Here is a 20,300-nt window from a genome sequence, read left to right as displayed (position 1 = left end):
GCCTGCCTACTCACCACCTGGGTGCCAGTGTCTGTGTGGTCATTTTTTCAGGATTTGCACCACCCTTCCCTGAGTGCTGGAGTGTGGACGGCACCTGCCAAGGGCAGCCCAGAGGCTGGTGAGTGTCAGGTGGGCCGTGTGCACCCAGCAAAACCCACCAACTTCCTGAGCAGGTGCTGCTGCCATCCCACTGCAGTGAAGAGGGCACTGAAGCACGAGGAAGCGACACTGCTGCATCCCAAGATGACAGACACTGAGGGAGCGGCCGCCCTGAGACTGGGACCCATGGCAACTCTCCCAACCCCACACATCCAGTTATCTCCCAAAAGATCTGCCAACCACAGCTGGGCCCTCATCTGTGGCCAAGAAGAGTATTTGAGGAGGTGGCCTCAGGGAGAAGAAAGGTGCTGTGGTCAGGGTGGCACCACACCTCCAATTCTCCACTTTACTCACAGGCTCCCCCACCCCTGGCTGGTCTGAGTGCCCGGCATAGCAGGGCTCTGTGGGGGGTGAGGGGAGCGCTTCTCTGCCGGGAATGAACAAGGGAGTCCAGCATGTTATGTTCGACAGGTGCTGCAGAGGGAAGAAAGGTCCTTCCTGTTGCTGGAAGAGCCTGGGCTCTGGCCCCCAAGGGTTGCTCCTGCTGAGGCCCCTTGGCACAGCCCAGCTGCAACTGAAGCGTTCCTTTGGCCCCGGCCTCTCCTGCAAGAAACGCTCAAATGCATGCATGGACAACTCGGTCAGAGGCTTGTGGATGGCGTAGAGGGGCATGGACAGCCGCGGCAAACATCGAGCCATCTTCCATTCCATGCCCACCATATGACCAACAGAAGGTCAGCCATGCCAAAAACCTGACTGCAGTTCTCAGGAAAACTTCATTCTAATGCCCAAGTGACACGGATAATCCTAATTTTCCTGATCTAGATGAAAAGCAGGGAAACTTCACTCTAATGCCCAAGTGACACGGATAATCCTAATTTTCCTGATCTAGATGAAAAGCAGGGAAACTTCACTCTAATGCCCAAGTGACATGGATAATCCTAATTTTCCTGATCTAGATGAAAAGCCCTGAGAAGCACGCTAAACATTTTTTTAACTAGCACATTTATAATCATTTTTCTTAGATTGAATGTGATTTTTTAAAAAGCTTCCCAATTCAAGAACAATTATCTTTTGATTTATCAAAATATGAGAGGAAGAATATTAATATTTGCAGTGTAAACTTTATATAGTTGTAAATTTTTTTTTTTTGAGACGGAGTCTCGCTCTGTCATCCAGGCTGGAGTGCAGTGCCATGATCTCAGCTCACTGCAAGCTCTGCCTCCTGGGTTCAAGCCATTCTCCTGCCTCAGCCTCCCGAGTAGCTGGGACTACAGGTGCCCACCACCACACCCGGCTAATTTTTTGTATTTTTAGTAGAGAAGGGGTTTCACTGTGTTAGCCAGCATGGTCTCGATCTCCTGACCTCGTGATCCACCCACCTCGGCCTCCCAAAGTGCTGGGATTACAGGCGTGAGCCACCGTGCCCAGCCTATATAGTTGTAAATTTTTAAAAATTACTTAATTACACAGATGCAGTGGTGCACACCTATAGTCCCAGCTACGCAATTACAACTTTTAGAACTACAAACTCTTAAGAAAGAGACATTAGCGATCATCTATTCCAGTATTTTTCGAAGTGTGGGTTGCAAAATCAATGCAATGTGTCATAGCCAGTTTTCAAAGAGACAAAAAGGGAGAGAAACGAAAAGCAGAACAGAAAACAGAATAAAAAATATTAATGCAATCAGCACACAGTAATACCATTCTGTGGACCTGTTCGGACCGTGTAAGTGTACACATGTGAGCGAGGGAGGAGGGCTCTGGAACCACAATGGAAAGCTGCCTTCTCGCTGTAGCCTGTTGTCCTGTGGACCTGTTCCGACTGTGTGTGTGCACACGCATGAGTGAGAGAGGAGGGTTCTAGAACCGCGATGGAAAGCTGCTTCCTGCTGTGGCTTGCGCAGATGCTGGTAGAGTCCAGCCATGCAGCTCGCATGCACTCATCATTCCAGAGGCAGCATCGCCGCAGAATGCGAGTTCGCCTTTATAGGGAGTCTGCCCAGGTCATGCAGCACTGGCTCAGGGTACCCACGGCAGCAAAGCAGCTGCACCAAGATGCAGGTATGACCAACCAGCGGTTCCCCTGTCAGCCCCCTGAAGTGGCCAACTGGTCTATCCACCTTATGCAAAAGTTCCCATGACCTCATAAAAAACCCATCAATTTTCATTTAAAATGCACTCAAAAATAAAGTCATCCACCTCCCTGCAAATTTCAATCCTTACAACTCTTAATTTTTAAGGGCTTTTTTTGTTTTTCAGAATCTTCTGAAAATCTGCACCAAATTAAAGATTTTATTATCCTTACCACTAACTGAAAATTGAAATTCCTTAGACAATACATTATTTTACACTCCTGGCACCATCTGTTTGAATGTACTCTCTCGCTCTGTGAATCGCTGGCACACCAGACTGCCTCTCCCTGCTCCAGGGAATTTCAGGGAATTCCAGATGCCCCTGATTCTGGTCTAATTTACCATACAAGGCCTGTCCTCTACTCAAACCAATTCTGCAATCCCTTAAGTTAACCATATGGGCAATACAATAACACCTCTACTTAAATCATTCCAAATTTCTGCTATGATATCATTTGATCTTCATGCCCAGGGCAGCAAATAATTAATTTCAAATACTCACTGAGCAACAAAGCCAACACTAGGGGATTGTCCAGTAAAGGAAAATGCTGCCCGGATGCCTCACACCCCCAGTGAGGCAGGGACAAAAGAAATCAGCACAGTGTAGTCAGCTGATGAAGGAGCCATTTCTCCACAACTCCACTCTCAACGAAGAAGCACCCAGAACACAGCCACAAATGCATCTAAACAGCCAAAGACCCAGGCTCAGCTCTACGCAGCTCACCCGAAGGAGCTACCCATGCCTGGAGCCATGACCAGAACCAGCCACTGCATTTTAATTTCAACTCCAACAGCAGTGGCTATTTGGCTTCCCTGGAAGGCAGCAGATTAGGTGCATGATGAGGACACGGTGGAGGGCAGGAGGCGAGGAGGGCAGCACACGTCCACACACACACAGGGGCTCTGCTCTACAAAGCCCGAGACTGAGACTCTAACTTAGGCACCTCCCACAGTGACCTCAATGCCCACTCTTATGTAAAGTTGTTATTCAGGAGGAAAGATAATACACAACCTTTGAAACCAGCCAAAGTGGTTCCAAATAATTTTTTAAGTATTTTAATTTTTTGAAAAACCATTGAATTGTACACTTCATTTATTTTGAGACAGGGTCTTGCTCTGTTGCCCAGGCTGGAATGCAGTGGCACAATCATGGCTCACCGCAGCCTGGGCCTCCTGGGCTCAAGCAATCCTCCTGCCTCAGCCTCATGAGTAGCTTGGGACTACAAGCACATGCCACCAGACGTGGCTAATTTTTTTTTTTCTGTAGAGACAGGGTCTCGCTATGTTGCCCAGGCTGGCATCAAACTCCTGGGCTCAAGCAATCCTCCCACCTCAGCCTCCCCAAAGTACTGGGATTACAGATGTGAGCTAGCACAAAACATTTTTTTTAAAGATTCAGCTGCAATTTCAATGTCAGTGTTCTAAGAAAGCCCTTCACCTCTTCTTCCCTCTCCCTCACCTCTTCTTCCCTCTCCCAGTCAGCAATGCTGGAACACTGAGGCACGACAGCATGTGCACTTAGAGGTCAAAAAGAACAATAAAGACAGAGATAGCACTGGAGTGGAAACTAGTCATCACGGCTGGGCAGCTGGCAAAGCAGAGGCCACAGGGGCCCAGAGCTGAGAGGAAGTGAGCGCTCCTGGAGGGGAGGCTGAGACACAGCGCTGGAGAGCACGGCTCGGGGAGGAGGAAGCGGGCACCATGCAGCCAGTGCGTCCCCACACCTGCGCACCCACCACCATCCCCCGAACCTTGTCTTCCCAAATGGCTCTTTATGAAGCCTCTGGTGCTCTGCCAATCTTTCCAAACTTCTTGCCCACATTTGGGATGCACCGTCCGCTACTGCTACCCCCCAACACTGGTCACAGGAGGCTGAGCACCGGGGGCTCCGTCCGACCTCACTGGACCTGGGTGCCCATGGCCTCCGGCCTTGCACAGGCAGTCACCCTCCCCATGGCTGTGCCATTCGCTGTCCTGAGGCCTTGGTGCAGGTGGCTCTCCCGACCTCTCCTACTGTGTCTCTCACCCTCCTACTGTGTCTCCCACCCTCCTACAGTGTCTCCCATGCTCCTACTGCGTCTCTCACCCTCCTACTGCATCTCCCACCCTCCTACTGTGTCTCTCAGGCTCTGTGGTTCTTGCGCACTCCCAGTGTGCCCAACAGGGCCTGAAATGGACTCTAATCAGCATTCCTTAGTGCAGGCTCATGCTCACCTGCAGAGCACCTGTCAGCAGACAGCCTCAGCCAGGGGAGCCCTCCCAGAGTCAACGAACAGCTGTGAGTCCCACCCTGCCTGCAACCCAGCACCAGATGTAAGCGCACACCACAACTGTCAGCAAAGAAGCCAGAGGATGCGGGTGTCGTGGGCTACAGGGAAAGGAGGCCAAGGCAGCCCTCCTGGAACCTCAGTATCAGAGCGGACAGAGACATAACAGCAGAAAGAGCGTGAGACGGGGCAGTCCATCTCTCAGCAAGGAAGAAAAGCAAGGCTGCTATGGACATGAAACTGACCACATAGCTTCAAATCAGGCGATTCTTCATATTTTCTACTCAGACAGCAAATGGCAACTGTGGGATGTCACTAGAATCTCTCAATATTTAATTTGAAGAAAACATGACTCAAAAAGAATGGTCCCCTGGCAGCAGGTGCCACAGGGTCACACCAACGCAGCACAATGGCGCTTCCCAGCACCGCAGCCACCAAGGCCCTCCTGGAACTGACATTGCTGCTGGCCGCAGACGTGGCCTCAAACCCGTCGCCCCAGCAGCAATCCACAAGCACAGCGTACATCCCTCCCTCCGTGGAACTAAGAATGGAGGCTATTTTCAGAGAAGCTGTCCACTAATTCTGAAAATAATCAATTAACTACAAGAAGTAATAGCAACAATCATCTCAGAAGTGGAATAGGAGGAGAACAGCAACAAGTGTGAGCCCAGCACAAGGAAAGGGGGTGGTGTGCAGGATGTGGGGCACAGGGCGCAGGGCACAGGCCCCGGCCCCAGGATGGAAAATGGACGGCCGGAAGAGGGGAGGCCTGGCCACCCTCCCAAGAGGATTTCTAGCTGCTCTGTCAGATTCTGAGTCTATTGCCACATAACCACTCCTAGTTGGAACTAGGGAATCAGAAGGGAATACTAAGCCAATCCTCAGTGATCTAGGAACTTAAAGCAGCCGCGTCCATTTCTTTGTGTTCTCTTACTCCGGTTGGGGTGCTGTTCCTCGCCTTCCCCCAACTACCTGGAACAAGCGTGGGCTGCAGGGTCTCCCATCAATCAAGCCAGTGCTCACACCAGGGCAGGCCAAGGGCCTCTGGGACAGGACGGGGAGCTGAGCCATCTGCAGTGTCACATGAAGGATGCTTCTGAGATCAAGTCTGGCTGGAGAAGAGAGAGCCCTAGACCTGCATGCACTATCCTCCTGTGGGCATGGGGGTGGGGAGGAGAGGGAATGGGCCGTGTGACCCCCACACTGCTCGGGGCTTCTGTAGGCAATGGGGATGGGGAGGAGAGCGAATGGGCCATGTGACCGCCCCCACGGCTCAGGGCTTCTGTAGGCACGGGGACGGGGAGGAGAGTGAATGAGCCGTGTGACCCCCCCCCCACGGCTCGGGGCTTCTGTAGGCACTGGGACGGGGAGGAGAGCAAATGGGCTGTGTGACCCCCCCCACGGCTCGGGGCTTCTTAGCCCAGTCAACAACATCGAGGCGAGTGGGCTTCTCTGTGCTTTCTGAAACATCCTTCTGTCTCCCAAACGTGTGGCCAGCCCGGAGGACAAAGCCTGCATGAGCAGGGTGTAGCTCAGCAGGAATGAGAACTGGCCAAATGATGGAAAAAAAAAAGAATTTCCACAAATGGAAAACGAGGGGGTTCACTACACAGATTTACCAGAAAAGGCAGCTTCAGTTGAACACAGTGGTTTCTTTAAATCACACGGCAGTTTCCTTCCCAAGAGAAGCAGGGGCCATGTACCAAGATTCCGCCCGTTACCCTGAGTGCAGCACCGGCCTCTCCTGAAGCCGTCTTTGATTTGAGGTCCCAGAAATGTGACCGATAATAGGAATCAGGAGCGTATGAGAGTTCACAAGGGGAAAAAAAAACAGGTGATTTATAAATTATTTGTTTCACATAAAAAGTGGTAGTACGGCAGCTTTATTCATTCTGCGGTGAGGCCACTTAGAGACAGTGGGAACTCGGAGGGGCCACGGAAGAGGCGGGAATGAGCAGCAGTTGCGACCCTGCTTGCAGTGCAAAGGCACGTGGGGCGGCAGCAGTGACGGAGGAACGAGAGACACCAGAACGGAATCTTGTTCAGAGAAATCCAGACAGCAACTCCTCCGACATCAGCCCTGAGTCCTTCCTGAACTCAGATCTGTGCTGGAGCCAATGGGCCTCCATGCCTGCTGAGAAAAGCTGGAATCTCTGTCCCCACAGTAGAGTTGGGAGAATTCTGTCTACAATCACAAACAGAAGCACTGCAGTGATACAGTGTAAAAGCCTGGTTCTATCTTTAAAATTCCAAGTGGATTTTGTTCAGGGGTAGAGACAGGAACAAGGGAATATCGAAGGTGACGTGCCTTACTTTTCCTAGGAATTAAACGTCCAGCAGCGTTTCAACTATGATACAGTTCCACTACCAGCAGAACCATAAACCACTATGTTGCAGAAAACTAAGACGGACCGCCAGCTATGAGCCCTGTCCTCTGCTGCCCCCGTGACCGTGAGAACCACGGGGGACAAAGGCGCAGAGAACTGACCTGCACTGCGCCCACCGCAGCCTCATTACCCCAGTGGAGTGAGCGCAAGGCCACAACTGTGGATTTAAAAGCTGCGCATTCCTTTGGCTCTTTTCCAGAGCAGCAATTTCATACTTACAGACGAGCGATGCTGCAGGACTACCTGAGAAAACCTCGTGCTGATCTTTAAGATGAAACTTTCCAACTAAGAAACTCTGACATAAACCAGTTTCGGAGGGTCTGCAGCCCTTCTCCCAAGGTGCCTCTGAGGGGTCAACAGAAAGCCCACGGGAGCACATGCCCTTCTGTCCCCCTCTGTGTAAAGCACCTCACTCTGGGGGTGCCCCAGGCTCAGTCGGGTCAGAGATCTGCAGGGCCTGGCCTTGACAAAGGGAACGCATGCAGGTTTCTCATAGGACAGTGCGCTGTGGTTTTGAAAAATTAGTATTATCTTTCTACACAGTGAGCTCTGTTTATGGTTCTCACTGTCAACTTCCCAGCTTCTGTTTTATGAAATGGGAAGATCACCCAGATTCTTCAATGATCCAGAGGTGACAGCCATCTCCTGAACAGAAAGGGTCTTCACCAGGACCTAGGAACACACAGCCTCAAAACCACCAGCGAGTTGACTCTGTCCTGCACAGCAACACCCTCCCCAGGACCCGCACCGTCGGAGCACATCATTTTGTAAAGACCATTCGTACTGGGGTGTTCAACCAATGGTCACTCTTTTTGTCAAGGATTAGAAAGCAGGCAAGTTTGTGAGTTTGATGGCAATACACAGGAGCGAAACCACCTTTTTCTAACAGAGTTATCTGTGCAAATATGACCACCATCAACATACACATGCGTGTGCAGAAAATAACCATCTGAAGGGGGTGGGGTGGTGGGGGTGGGAGGGCATGTTTCCGCCATAATGCAAAAGCTGCTGAAATCCTACGGAGCAGCAAATGTAACCCCCAAGCCCCGCCCTCCCCCTTCCAGGCCTGTGCATTGCCATGGTGAGGAAAGCCAGTCCTGCTCTGGGGCTCACACTGAGAGGCCTTTGCACCCTCGCTTCCTCCCATGAGAGCCCCCATTCCTTGGCAGCACAATGGCCTATATGTGAGAGGGGGACTGTGGCACTCACCTGACCATCCGCCCCCTTCCCATGAGAGCCCCACCCCTCAGCAGCACAATGCCCACATGTACATGGGGACCAGGGCACTCACCTGACCGTCCCACCCCCTCCCCTGAGAACCCCACCCCTTGGCAGCGCAACGCCCGCATGTGCATGGGGACTGGGACACTCAGCTGACCATCCTGCCCCACGTGATGGATCTGGAGGTTGCCCTACAAAGAACAAGAGGAGGAACGGTCATGAGTAGAAACAAACCAAGACACCCGCAGACACAGCAAACACACCAAGACACCCGCAGACACGGCAAACACGCCAAGACACATCACAGGCCACTTGAGAATAACAAGAAAAACACTAGTTCTGCAAAAATTCAACCTCCAGTAGCAACAAAAGCCCCAAAACAAAATATTTAGATTTCTAGGTACTATTTATTATTTTAAAGGTGAACAAACAACTCAAAAAGCACTGTACCCATTCCCCCACCCTGACCCCAAATGAAAATGTCATTTTTACTTCATTTTTTATTTTGAAAGAATCTGACTCACAAAAAGTACAGAAAGTAGCAGAGAGAGGTCCTATGTGCATGTCACCCAGCTTCCCCAAAGGGGGACGCCTTGCTGAGCTGTGCGGCATCACCACGCCAGGTCACGGGCTGCACGCAAGGAACCAACTCACTCAACCACAGAGCTACTAAGAGCTCTCCAGTTAGAAATTCATTTTCATTTGTTGTAAAAAGGAACTGTTTTATGTCTGTTAGACCCTGCTAAATGTTTATTTGCAGATATCCTGTTTTAACAAAATAATTTTAAATGAACATGGTATGAATTTATGGTGAGGAGACTGCATACTGTCACTTATCACAAAGCCATCGTTAGTATTATTAGCAATTTCTAACTTACTGCATTCAATTCCTAATGAAAATGAAAGACAATCACCTATACAAGATGGATTCAGTTTTGAAAACTGAAGGATAAAACTAATAATAAAAAATTGAAATTCCAGTAGTCAAGATTTTTTAGCATAAACTATAAAAAGCAAATGTGTGTTGATTTTTTTCTTTTGCTGCTGTTTCAATTTTCCTGCATTTTCAATGACTCTAAGGAAATTAAGCATTCCGACGAACTTCATAGGCTTCCAGGTATTCAAGAACTCTGGCTGAGGTCTCTGGCAGTGAGCTTAGCCTCCCAGCCCCAACCTGTCTGTGCCTTGAGAAGCAAACCTTCCCCTGCCCCTCAAAGGCAGCTCCTGCACTGGAAGGTGCTGCTGGGATCCTGCACCTCGCAGCCGCTCAGGCCCCCAACTCCTGCACCTGACCTTGCTGAGCTGACAGGCGCATCTCCCGACATCTCCAGGGAGATGGTCCCTGACCCACCCACAGACACAGAACCAGGCCCTGCCCCTTCCTGGACACTCTGGCCTCCTGGGACCGTCCCCTACCTGCTCCCCGCCCTGGTGCTTCCTTCCATCCATCCATCTGACCACATGTTTCTTAGTGACCTGGTCATGTCGCTGTGTGGATGAGCCCACTCATTCCCAGTCGCTCATGGCCCCCACATGAATTCATTCCTCCCCTTTCACCTCATCCTCATTCCACCCCTGGAACCCTTATGCATGTGCTCCCCTCTCAGGATAACCCACTGGGAACTGCTGGTGTCCAAATTAAAGCCACTGCCAGCAGACACACCTAAGTCCCTGGTGCTCCACGTGCCACGGCGTGCATGTGTCCACAGTCTTGCTCACGGGCACTTGGGCAGGAGGCTCTGTGCCCACTGTGAGTCCCCGAAGGCAGGGCTTCTCTCTCCTCTGCTCCCCCACAGCACCTGTACCCAGCATGAGCTCCCGGGAGGCCTCGCACGCCAACATGTCCATGAGTCCCCTTGACCTCAGCACCTGGGCTTCCTAGTCTCTGCTGCTGGTGTGTGTGGGGAAGCCTGAGATCTTCGTAGCGACACACTACTATGCACCAAACACAAAGCTGGTGCCATTGTCACCACCTAGAAACAGCCATGTTCCTCATCCCCCAGAGCGCACCACGGTCACTCAGTACAACACGTGTGTGCTGCTTAGTGCCCTGTGCCTGCTGCTGCCTGTGCTGCAGGAAACAGCCCAGAGTCGAAGGACGGTCACCAGCCACCCGGAAGACAGTCCTGCTCTGGTACGCAAACACGGAGCATCGCAACCGGCCGGCCTCGGCTTTCCAAGAACTCAGACTGTCACTCCCGCCTTCACATTCCAGACCCCAACAGCAGCTGAGCCCGCACTTCTGAGTGCGTGGCTGGGTAGAGCTCCAGAAACTGAGACAATCACAGACACGGCAGGTGCGTCAGGGCTATGACCAGCTCTCAGGACTGGCAGCATCACCTTGTGGGATTCCCCACCATCCTATGAAATCGGCACTAATCCTGTAGAGGCCACCAGGAAGCTGGGGCCACATGGCAGGTGAGGGGGTATGTCAGGTCACCTGTGCAGGGGCAGACCCCATCTCGGCCACACTGGGGCCCTCCCCTGGCAGGAAGGGCAGGGCCAGACAGGGAGAGAAGGGTACTCAGAGGGCACTTCCAGCCAGGAGCAGAAACATCTACCCAGGAGATCTTTGCCAAGACAGACCAGAAGCTGTGGAGACCAACGGACAGGAGGGGGAGGCAGTGAGGCCACAGAGACTGCAGGCCCACTATGTGCACCCTGGAAGCGGAGTCCTGCAGCCCTCGCCCACGTTCCCCATCCTGGGGGCTCCCTGCTGCCCTCACACTGTGACACTGATGAAGGTCGGGAGCATGCGGGCACAGTGCCTGCAGGGACAGGGCTGCAGCGAGAGATGACTCACCTCGCTGTCCTGCGTGATCTGGACTTGCTCCCCCTGTGGCACCTTGGCGATGTGGAGGTGTCCCTGTGGGATCCGCAGTAAGAAAAGACACCAAGAAGCATCAGAAGAAAATAAAAAGCAAAGGAAACAAGAAACATCTTCCGGAATGTTTGTTCTTGATTATCTGTTTACAATTCAAAAAGATAACTAAATCCTGAATAGTGCAATATAGTCTGTGGTCACCTCTTTAAATTAAGCTTTTGGTTCACAGTAGTCCCCCTCATCCATGAGGGTTTCAAGAAGCGCCCCCTCCCCCCACCATGTGGACGTCAGAAACCGTGGATGGTGCTGAACCCCGTATATGCTATGCTTTTTCCTGCCCATACGTGCCACACAGCTTGGACATGCTGGACAAAGGAATGACTCACATCCCGGGCTGGACACAGCAGGACGACCAGACTTCATCATGGTACTACCCAGAAGAGTATGCAATCTGAAACTTACAAATTGTTTATTTCTGGAATTTCTCATCTAATATTTTCAGATCACAGTTGACTGTGGGTAATTAAAACCTAGGAAAGTGGAAGCATGGGTAAGGGGGGGTACTGTGTAACACAGAACATGTTCCAGTACTTCACAAAGGAGCAATAGGTCCCAGGAAAGATATATACATCTTTAAATGTTACTAAACAAGTAAATTTTAAAATGTGCATGACACACAGAAAAGAGGGGAAATAGAAAATCACAATGACGCCTCTTTTCAAATGATACGTTCAGCTCTCTGGGGATGCTGGGAGGCTACACAAGCAGTGTGTGGCTGAAGCAGGGGAGCTGTTTGCGTGCCTACACTCACAACAGGGCAGGCAACGTTTTTCAAATCAAAGAAACACTCATATGACTATTTAAACAGTTTGAGGAAACACTAACAAATGTGATTCAAAAAAAATCAAAGAATCCACTGTTTATACATACGGGCAGACAAATATTTCCTATAAACCTGTAAATGAAATGAATACTCCTTATCTTATTTGAAATTCTCTCTTAGTTGAAATGGATCTTAAACTCCTGTAGAAAGTTCTATGTAAGCCTTATGACAAAGTTATCTACTCTGGAACGCTTTCAAAGAACTTCTTACTAACAAGATGAGAGGAACTGCCATTGTGAATGTCAAACAAATTAATAAGCTTATTAAATAAGATTCACTATTCATAACTGTCTCATCTCCTTTGGAAGAGGAAGGGAATGCCCCCTCTAAAAGCCCCAGAATTTTCTGGAAGCCTTCCCTCTTCCAGACAGCACGCTGAAGCCACACTGACATGAGAGCCACGACCCACTCTCAATAGTGGAGGACCTTGTTTCCAGGAGAAAGCCCTGGTAACACGGAGGCACACGATGACCTGTCTTCAGAGGGCCCAAGGGGGCTGGTGCCACTAAAAACACAGGCTAGGTCTAGTGGTACATGTAAAATTTCTAGTCACTCAGCAAAGCTTCCAGAAAAGTCTTCTTCTCAGCCGCCCCCTACTCTCGTGCCACAGAATCCAGGAGGTGTTTGTAGAGGGACTTCACCCGGGAGCGAGCCCCTAGGCGCATCAGACTGACCACAGCTTGGGTCACAAAACCCCAACAGAGAACTCCGCACGGGCAAGGCAGGACATTGACTTGCTGCTGGGACAGTGCCCGCCCAACCTGGGTGTGCTGAGTAACTCCAAGGGAAACGCTGCATGGGAACAATGACCTCAAGCTTTTGCCACTGATCCTAGAAGGAAATTACTCTTTCCCTCAGTAAGAGGACGCCTGCACTTCTGAGCTGAGAAATATTTCCGTTGCTTCCCAGGAGCACGAGCTGGGGCAGGGACCACTGCACGGCCTGACCCTTGGAGCTGACTGCCCGCCTGCCTGCTGGCAGGACTGAGGTGAGCTGACTGAATGCCCCACCCCACCATGTGCTTCAATCCCTAGGCTCTGCAGCAGCCGCCCCCACCTGTGAAATGTTAAGAGCTCATGGCCACGATGACCTCTACTTTAAATGGGAACCTTGTGCCTCCTCCCAAGCTATCACTGTGCTCCCGAAACACAGCGGAACTGGTGGAAGCCGCCATGGCCCCGCCGTGGCCCACCCCACAGCCCCCTTTACCAAGGTGCGAGGTGGAGAGGGTACGTACTACTTGCACCTGTCCGTCTTCTCCGATCTGGTGGATCTGCACCTGCTGCACGTTGGCCAGCGCGTAGTGCAGGGCCTGCGGCTGCAGCTGTGGCTGCAGGAGCTCTCTGGCAGGAGGTGGGGTGCTCATCATCGGCTCTGTGGAGGAAACAGGTGTGAACGGGGTGAACGAGAAGTTTCTTAGGCATTGCCTTGTGCAGCATGTGTGCACCCCCGTCCCTCACTCTCGACTCCCACAGCAGAGAAGAGGAAATGCTTCATTTTTCCTCGACTCACTGCATCTCCACTCTTCTGCAGAGGTCACTATGAGTGAGTCTTAGGAACTGAGTTTTCCGACGTGGAATGCAGAAGGGCCTGAGAGTGGCGTGATGCTATGACAAAACCCCTTCTAGTCCCCAACTTATTTAAATGAATGAAGTTCTTAAAGTGGACATTAAAAGCTGTTTCAGGCTGGCAATATTTGTCCATGGGTAATTAAACTAATAGAGCAAAAGTCTCATCCACGCACTTAAAGATACATTTCCAACAAATTTTACTTGCTGTGTTTAATCAAAATGAGATACATTTGCTTTGATGTACTGTGTATTAATTTTCACTGTAATGATGTCTCAATCATAATTTTCTTAAACTCTTAGAATATTAAGAGCGCAGAAAAACTTTAATTTTCAATGTATACACGTAGTTTTGTTGCAGAGAATTATAATGACTAATTTTAAAAAGCTTTTAAGCGTAAAAATGTAGTCTGGGCACGGTGGCTCACACCTGTAATCCCAGCACTTTGTGAGGCCAAGGCAGCCAGATCACCTGAGGTCACGAGTTCAAGACCAGCCTGGCCAACATGGTGAAACCCCATCTCTATTAAAAATACAAAAATTAGACAGGCGTGGTGGTGGGGGTCTGTAATCCCAGGCACTCAGGAGGCTGAGGCAGGAGAATCACTTAAACCTGGGAGGCGGAGGTTGTAATGAGTCAAAATGGCACCACTACACTCCAGCCTGGGCAACAGAGCAAGACTCCATCTCGGGGGGACTGGGGAGGGAAGCAGAAAGATGAAATTCTGTGAGAGAAGTAGAATGTTGATATGAATGAAAGGAGAAAAATGAAAGACATAAAATTTCTGATTATTAAAGAGAAGCAGGCCAGGCATGGTGGCTCACGCTTGTAATCCCAGTATTTTGGGAGGCCAAGGCAGGCAAGATCACTTCAGGTCAGGAGTTCGAGACCAGCCTGACCAACATGGTGAACCCTGTCTCTACTAAAAATACAAAAATTAGCCAGGTGTGGCGGCATGCATCTGTAGTCACAACTACTTGGGAGGCTGAAGTAGGAGAATCACTTGAACCTGGGAGTAGGTGATTACAGTGAGCTGAGATGGCACCATGGCACTTAGCTCCAGGCAACAGAGCGAGCAGGGGAAGGGACGGGTTGGGGCAAGAGAGGGGAGGGCAAGAGAGAGGAAGGGAGGAGGGGAGAGGGGAGGAGGGAGGGAAGGGGGAGGGGCGGAGAGGGGGAGGGGGAGGGGCAGAGAGGGGAAGGGGAGAGAAAAGCTTTCCATGTATTTTTTACCAATAGCTAATGGTAGGTATTAAATTGCCATAGTACATAGATTCCACTGAATACATTTTTTAAAGTAACAATAAAATGTTGGTTTTTTTTTTTTTTTTTGAGACAGAGTCTTGCTCTGTCACCCAGGCTGGAGTGTAGTGGTGTGACCTTGGCTCACTGCAACTTCCGCCTCCCAAGTTCAAGCGATTCTCCTGCCTCAGCCTTCCAAGTAGCTGGGATAACAGGCACCCACCATCATGCTGGGCTAATCTTTTTTTTGTATTTTTTTGTAGAGAAGGGATTTCACCAGGTTGGCCAGGCTGGTTTTGAACTCCTGACCTCAAATGATCCGCCTGCCTTGGCCTCCCAAAATGCTGGGATTATAGGTGTAAGCCACTGTGCCCAGCCACATAACAGAATGTTGATACTTGCAATATGCTAGAAATTGCCTAGCTACACTAAATCAGAATCTGAAATTCATGAGATTCAAAGGAGATTCAACATGCCCACCTGCATGCTGCACGTGGAGAGCTTGGCTCCAGCCAAAGACCCTGACTCCACCTGAGCACCTCCAGTGATGGGTCATGTCCCAAAGCAACCACCGCCAGGCAGTGCTGCGTGCTCCATGGCGGTTTCCTGTCTGCCTGAGCAGTTACAGAGCACTCACCACCACAGGTCCTCGAGCAAGCCTTGTGCACCCCAGGAAGAAAATGACAAAATCCCAGCTGGGCTGAAGCCCACCTCCGCGGAGCTGCTTTTCCTCCACTGACCCTCTTAGCACCTACAAAACCAGCCTAATTCTTCACTTATGCACTGCTTCTCCAGGCATCTAACCGTTATCAAACCTTGTGAAATCTCAATTTCTAACCGTTTCCCCAAAGACAAGTTTCCAGCCCACTGCCACCATGACAGTCTGTCCCTGGACAGCTCCTCCCAGCAGCTCCAAAACGCTCCACTGGGGCCACAGGGTAGACAAGCTAAGAATGGGTGTGCTCCAGAGTGCACCTTCCAACCACAAGGGCTCTGAGGAAGCTCCTGCACACCAGCGCAGCCAGCAAAACACTCAGCTTCACATGCTGTTACACCACCGTCTACTACTGTGCAAATGCTCTTAGTCTACATTTCCAGCTATGAAATTTCAGCTCACTAAATTTACCCTTTCAAGATTCTGGTATCCTAATGATGCAGGCCAACATATCTGGCAGTCGTCAGGTTATATAACAGCAGCTTCTTGCTCACTAAGGTCCTGGCAAGTCATTTAACTTGGGTTTTGATTCCCCATTGGATGAAGCAGACCGCTAACCTTACCAAATGCACGTACCCGAAACACATGGAAGGCAAGCCTGGCAACAACTCTCCTCGCTCTTCGAGTCTAGGAGTTCCATATGGTTCTTTTTTATGTCTTCTATTTCGCTCCTTGCTATGTTCCTTTTTTCCTTTAAATTCCTGAATGTAATTTTAATAGATTTCAATGTCCTGGTCAGTTAATTCCAGACAGGGTCCCTTCCTATTTGCTGATTTTCTGATCATAGGTCACAATCTCCTGCTTCCTGGTACTCTGGACTAGATACTGGAGATTGTGAATTTTACTTTGTTGGGTGTCTAGGTTTTGTTGTCTTTCTTTTAAAAGTGTTGTTACTTGTGATTCAATGTGATCTTTCTCAGGCTCTCTTAAGCTCTGCCTTTATTCTAGGGACAGTTTAGCCTGCCAGTAGGCATGGCCAGCTAGTGCAGTGACTGATCACTGAGGACTCTGGCTAGTGGGAATCCAACCACCACCCAGCCTGGGGTGAGCTTAGGAGCCATTGAGCTCATGCCTGCCTTGGAATCCCCCAAACACCCAAGATGGCCCCCGTGTAACCCTCTGCTCTTAAGAACTTGATTCCACAACTTTCTGCTGCCTCAGCCTCTCTCAACTCCAACCCATCTCCTCCATGCAGTGATGTAGCTATCTCTGCCTGGCATCTCCCTGTCCCCTCCTCTCGTGTTCCTTCTCTCGGGATCACGGTCCTGTGCTGTTGCTTGTCTAATGTCTTAGGACAGCCGATTCACAGATTTTTGTCCAGATTTCAATGGCAAGAGAATTCAATCTGGTTCCTGCTACTGTGCCTGACAGAAATTGTGCCTGACAGAAATTGTGCCTGACAGAAATCTCCTCTCCTTGACTTTTTTTTTTTTTTTTTTTTGAGACAGAGTCTTGCTCTGTAGCCCAGGCTGGAGTGCAGTGGCGTGATCTCGGCTCACTGTAAGCTCCGCCTCCCAGGTTCACGCCATTCTCCTGCCTCAGCCTCCCGAGTAGCTGGGATTAGAGGCATGTGCCACCACACCTGGCTAATTTTTGTATTTTTAGTAGAGACAGGGTTTCACCATGTTGTCCAGGCTGATCTCGAACTGCTGACCTCAGGTGATCAGTTTGCCTCAGCCTCCCAAAGTGCTGGGATTACAGGCATGAGCCACCACGCCTGGGCTCCCTGACTTTTAAACAACATTTTTTACAACTATAAAACTAATGCAGTGCTTATTGGAAATAACTGAGAAACTACAATAAAAGACAAAGGGAAAAATAAAAATTATCCTACTACCTAGAGATAGGCACTGTAAAAATGATCACACATAAATTTTTAATCAACTTCCACATATACCTATATATTTGCAATAAAAATGGTATCATGCCATAAGTATAGTCCTCACATCGCTCTCTGCTGCCCAGCTATGAATATTCAAGAGAGAAGTCAAGTCATGAGCAATATTCCTACAGCCACATTTCAATAGCCACAGGTTACGCTGCTACATGGTATTTCAGTGAATGCCCCTAACCCACACCCTAGGACTGCTACCTCTCTCAAGTCCCAAGGCAGAATTCCTCATTGTAGTAGAAAGGCCTAGAATAGAAGAGCTTCTTCAACACAGGTCACTCAATAAAGTGCTGCTTTAGGGACACAACTTGTGTGGCCCACTACAGGCAGCCACCTCCCATCCTCAAGCCCCTGGGCAGCAGCTGAGGCCGAGTATCTGATAACTACCAAAACAGCCCGGGAAAACCACTTCCTGAAGTCCGGTTCAGAAAGAACGAGGCCCCGGGAGAACTCCAGGTGATCTGGTCTGTAACTCCCAGGACTTCCAGAACAAAGGGTTCCGGCCGACAAAGACTCCACTGAATAGGAGAGCTGGCCCTGCCCACAGCTGCCCTCGCATCCTGACCCCAGCCCCAGTCAGAGCTCAAGTTCCAAGAGTCACTGCCAATGCAGCTACTGTGGGGAGCTTTAAGAGAATAGTTTTCATTCAAATACGTATTAAAATATTTTGAGATGTCTTGGGTAAAAGGCAGTATCAAGTCACATTGTCATTCCTAGTGAAAATTCTCCAAGGAGAACAATCTCCCCAGCAATGCCTGAGAGGCAACTCAAAGAGAACTGTTTCCATTATCTTGTGGATAAATCCAACTAAGGCCATGAACTCAAAGTAAAAATAAAGCACAATTCAGAATCCACCCCACTTCCTCACCCGGAGTCACCAGGCAAATCGTGAGAATACAATGGCCGGCAGCCCTACACAAAGGCCTCGGCCTCCTTGCCCCCATCCAGAAGACTTCCAGGAGGCCCAACAGGCCCTCTGTCCCTCACAGAGGAGCCTGGAGCAGGCCCGAGGCTGTCTGTGTGAAGGGCGCACAGGGCCAGGCACAGGTCCTGCAGCTCCACTGCTCCGTGTGCACCTCACAAGCCTCTGGCCTCGGCTCCCGGCCATTGGTGGAGCCGCCGGCCACGCTCTGGCTGCCCCTGAGGGTGCCACCAGGCCAGCTGCCCCGAGCAGGGGAGGGCGGCCTCTCCTGCAGCACGAGGCCTACCTGAGGGGCAGTAGGAGGATGAGTTGGGCATTCTCCACGAGAAGCTCTTGACCACCAGGCTCTGGCCCCACTGCTTGCGCCGCCACGCCGTGCGGCACTTGGAGTCGATGCTCTGCTTGATTCGGTACCAGTCAGATTCTGTGATGCCAAATTTATAGAAAAGGTGACCTGGAAGGACACATCCAAGGAGAAGGGGTGAGGCCTGTTTGGGACAGCCACCAGGAGCTGCCTGGCTGCAGGGTCAGGGCCCACTGAAGAGGCCTCACCCAGGCACCCCAGCCCACCAGGCCGGCCCCATCTTCCTGCAAGGGTCTGGAAAGGCCCACTGCACAGAAGGTGCTTAGCTGGCCCACAGGCGGGGCTCCCCACGAGATATAAATTCTCACTAAGGTGTCATGACACACTCTTTCCATTTACTTAAGTTCTTGATCCCTCTGACTTGGTCGGCCCATACCAGGTGCACACTTGGGGCGCTCACAAGATTCCCAGACCTTCCATGCTCCAACTTCCCTCTGCCCTGAACTCGCAGCAGCACCTAAGGTCCTGAATGCCCAGAGGGTGAGATCAGGGACCTCAACAATTGGATCAGAACTCGCTGGTCCTCCGCCTACTCAGACCTGCTCGGCCACCGCCTTCCCTTCCTTCATGTCTTGGCTTCACCATCCCCCTGGATAACCACCTGACCCTCCCGCCCTCCTGGGCTCCCACCCTCCTCCCACTTGTTTTGTCAGAGCACTGACCACCTTCTGGCATTTGGAGAATTCATGTGTGTATTGTTACTCTGTCCCCCTTACAAACACAGTTTCGAGAATTCAGGTGTGTATTGTTACTGTTCCCCTGGCAAACACAGTTTGGAGAATTCACGTGTGTATTGTTATTCTGTTCCCCTGGCAAACACAGTTTGGAGAATTCACGTGTGTATTGTTATTCTGTTCCCCTGGCAAACACAGTTTGCAGAATTCAAGTATGTATTGTTACTCTGTCCCCCTCACAAACACAGTTTGGAGAATTCACGTTATGTATTGTTATTCTGTTCCCCTCGCAAACACAGTTTGGAGAATTCACGTATGTATTGTTACTGTCCCCCTCATAAACACGGGCCTTTGTTGTGTCCACCCATGGATGTCAGGCACCCAGAACATTCTGGTGCACAGTGGCTGCTCCTGTGTAAATAGTGATTACAACGGACTGCAACACACCCTCCCATCGCTGCTCAGGTCCGGGGCTTGCTTATGTCATTCCCAATGCCTCTCCATCGTGCTTTCTCAACTAGAGCACAAACTCCTTACGGACAGGGCCTGTGTCCTCATCCCTGGAGTCCCTATACCACAAGCCGAGTGGGCACAACCTACTCTCACTGTGGGGCCAAAGCCAGGTGCATTGTCTTCCTGGGGCTCACCGTGCACACGCAGAGAACTGTCTTGGGACCCCCAGGTCTCTACCACCTGCGCTACGGAGAGCTCTCAGCACGCCCTGAGCAGCATCCAGAGATGCCCTGTATTCAACAGGGAGAAAACTGAGGATCCGAAGGCCACGGCGGAGCAGGTGACAGGATGGAGCCAGCGCCCCACTGCATGCCTGGCCACTTCCCACTAGGCCACAGGACCCCATCCCTGTAGCGATGACGAATCTGGGCATGATGGGAAGGGCTCTTCAATGCAGTGGCCTCTCTAGCTGGCTCATGCAACTTCACTAATTTACAGGAAAATACAGGATGGAATCCAAAATTGTAGTAATAAAAAGATTAAGCTGAAAAGCGTCCTGTTTTGACTACCAAGAGCCTCAAGTTTGGACTCTACTGCCCAAACCCTAAAAATCTGTTCCCATTGAGACTAAAATGGTGGAAATAATTAAAACAG

General features: G+C 50.6%; 1 pseudogene across 1 annotated transcript in view, besides 4 other annotated features; it reads right to left on the bottom strand.

The window, feature by feature from the left end:
* The window catches only part of SNX29P2 (sorting nexin 29 pseudogene 2), a 62,773-nt pseudogene that overhangs the window by 25,523 nt on the left and 16,950 nt on the right, over positions 1-20,300 (bottom strand). Inside the window, exons 3-5 of the transcript NR_002939.3 lie at positions 18,442-18,609; positions 13,054-13,190; positions 10,913-10,975 (exon numbers count right to left, since the gene is read on the bottom strand). The product of NR_002939.3 is annotated as a sorting nexin 29 pseudogene 2 (transcript). The remainder of the gene's footprint in view (positions 1-10,912; positions 10,976-13,053; positions 13,191-18,441; positions 18,610-20,300) is intronic.
* Positions 3,815-3,864: an enhancer, noted in NCBI's record as "active region_10656". NCBI's record gives its function as "activates an Ori minimal core promoter by ATAC-STARR-seq in GM12878 lymphoblastoid cells {active_cell/tissue: GM12878}" and the evidence as "EXISTENCE:reporter gene assay evidence [ECO:0000049][PMID:35858748]".
* Positions 9,268-10,129: an enhancer, noted in NCBI's record as "H3K4me1 hESC enhancer chr16:29340729-29341590 (GRCh37/hg19 assembly coordinates)". NCBI's record gives its function as "activates a minimal SCP1, AML or CMV promoter by ChIP-STARR-seq in naive H9 embryonic stem cells {active_cell/tissue: H9 hESC(naive)}" and the evidence as "EXISTENCE:reporter gene assay evidence [ECO:0000049][PMID:30033119]".
* Positions 10,130-10,991: an enhancer, noted in NCBI's record as "H3K4me1 hESC enhancer chr16:29339867-29340728 (GRCh37/hg19 assembly coordinates)". NCBI's record gives its function as "activates a minimal SCP1, AML or CMV promoter by ChIP-STARR-seq in naive H9 embryonic stem cells {active_cell/tissue: H9 hESC(naive)}" and the evidence as "EXISTENCE:reporter gene assay evidence [ECO:0000049][PMID:30033119]".
* Positions 19,441-19,941: an enhancer, noted in NCBI's record as "H3K4me1 hESC enhancer chr16:29330917-29331417 (GRCh37/hg19 assembly coordinates)". NCBI's record gives its function as "activates a minimal SCP1, AML or CMV promoter by ChIP-STARR-seq in naive H9 embryonic stem cells {active_cell/tissue: H9 hESC(naive)}" and the evidence as "EXISTENCE:reporter gene assay evidence [ECO:0000049][PMID:30033119]".

This window comes from Homo sapiens, chromosome 16 (genome assembly GCF_000001405.40).
Source record: "Homo sapiens chromosome 16, GRCh38.p14 Primary Assembly".
Lineage (NCBI taxonomy): Eukaryota > Metazoa > Chordata > Mammalia > Primates > Hominidae > Homo > Homo sapiens.
Note: the sequence above shows the minus strand (reverse complement) of the source record. Positions and strands in the feature narration are given on the sequence as shown.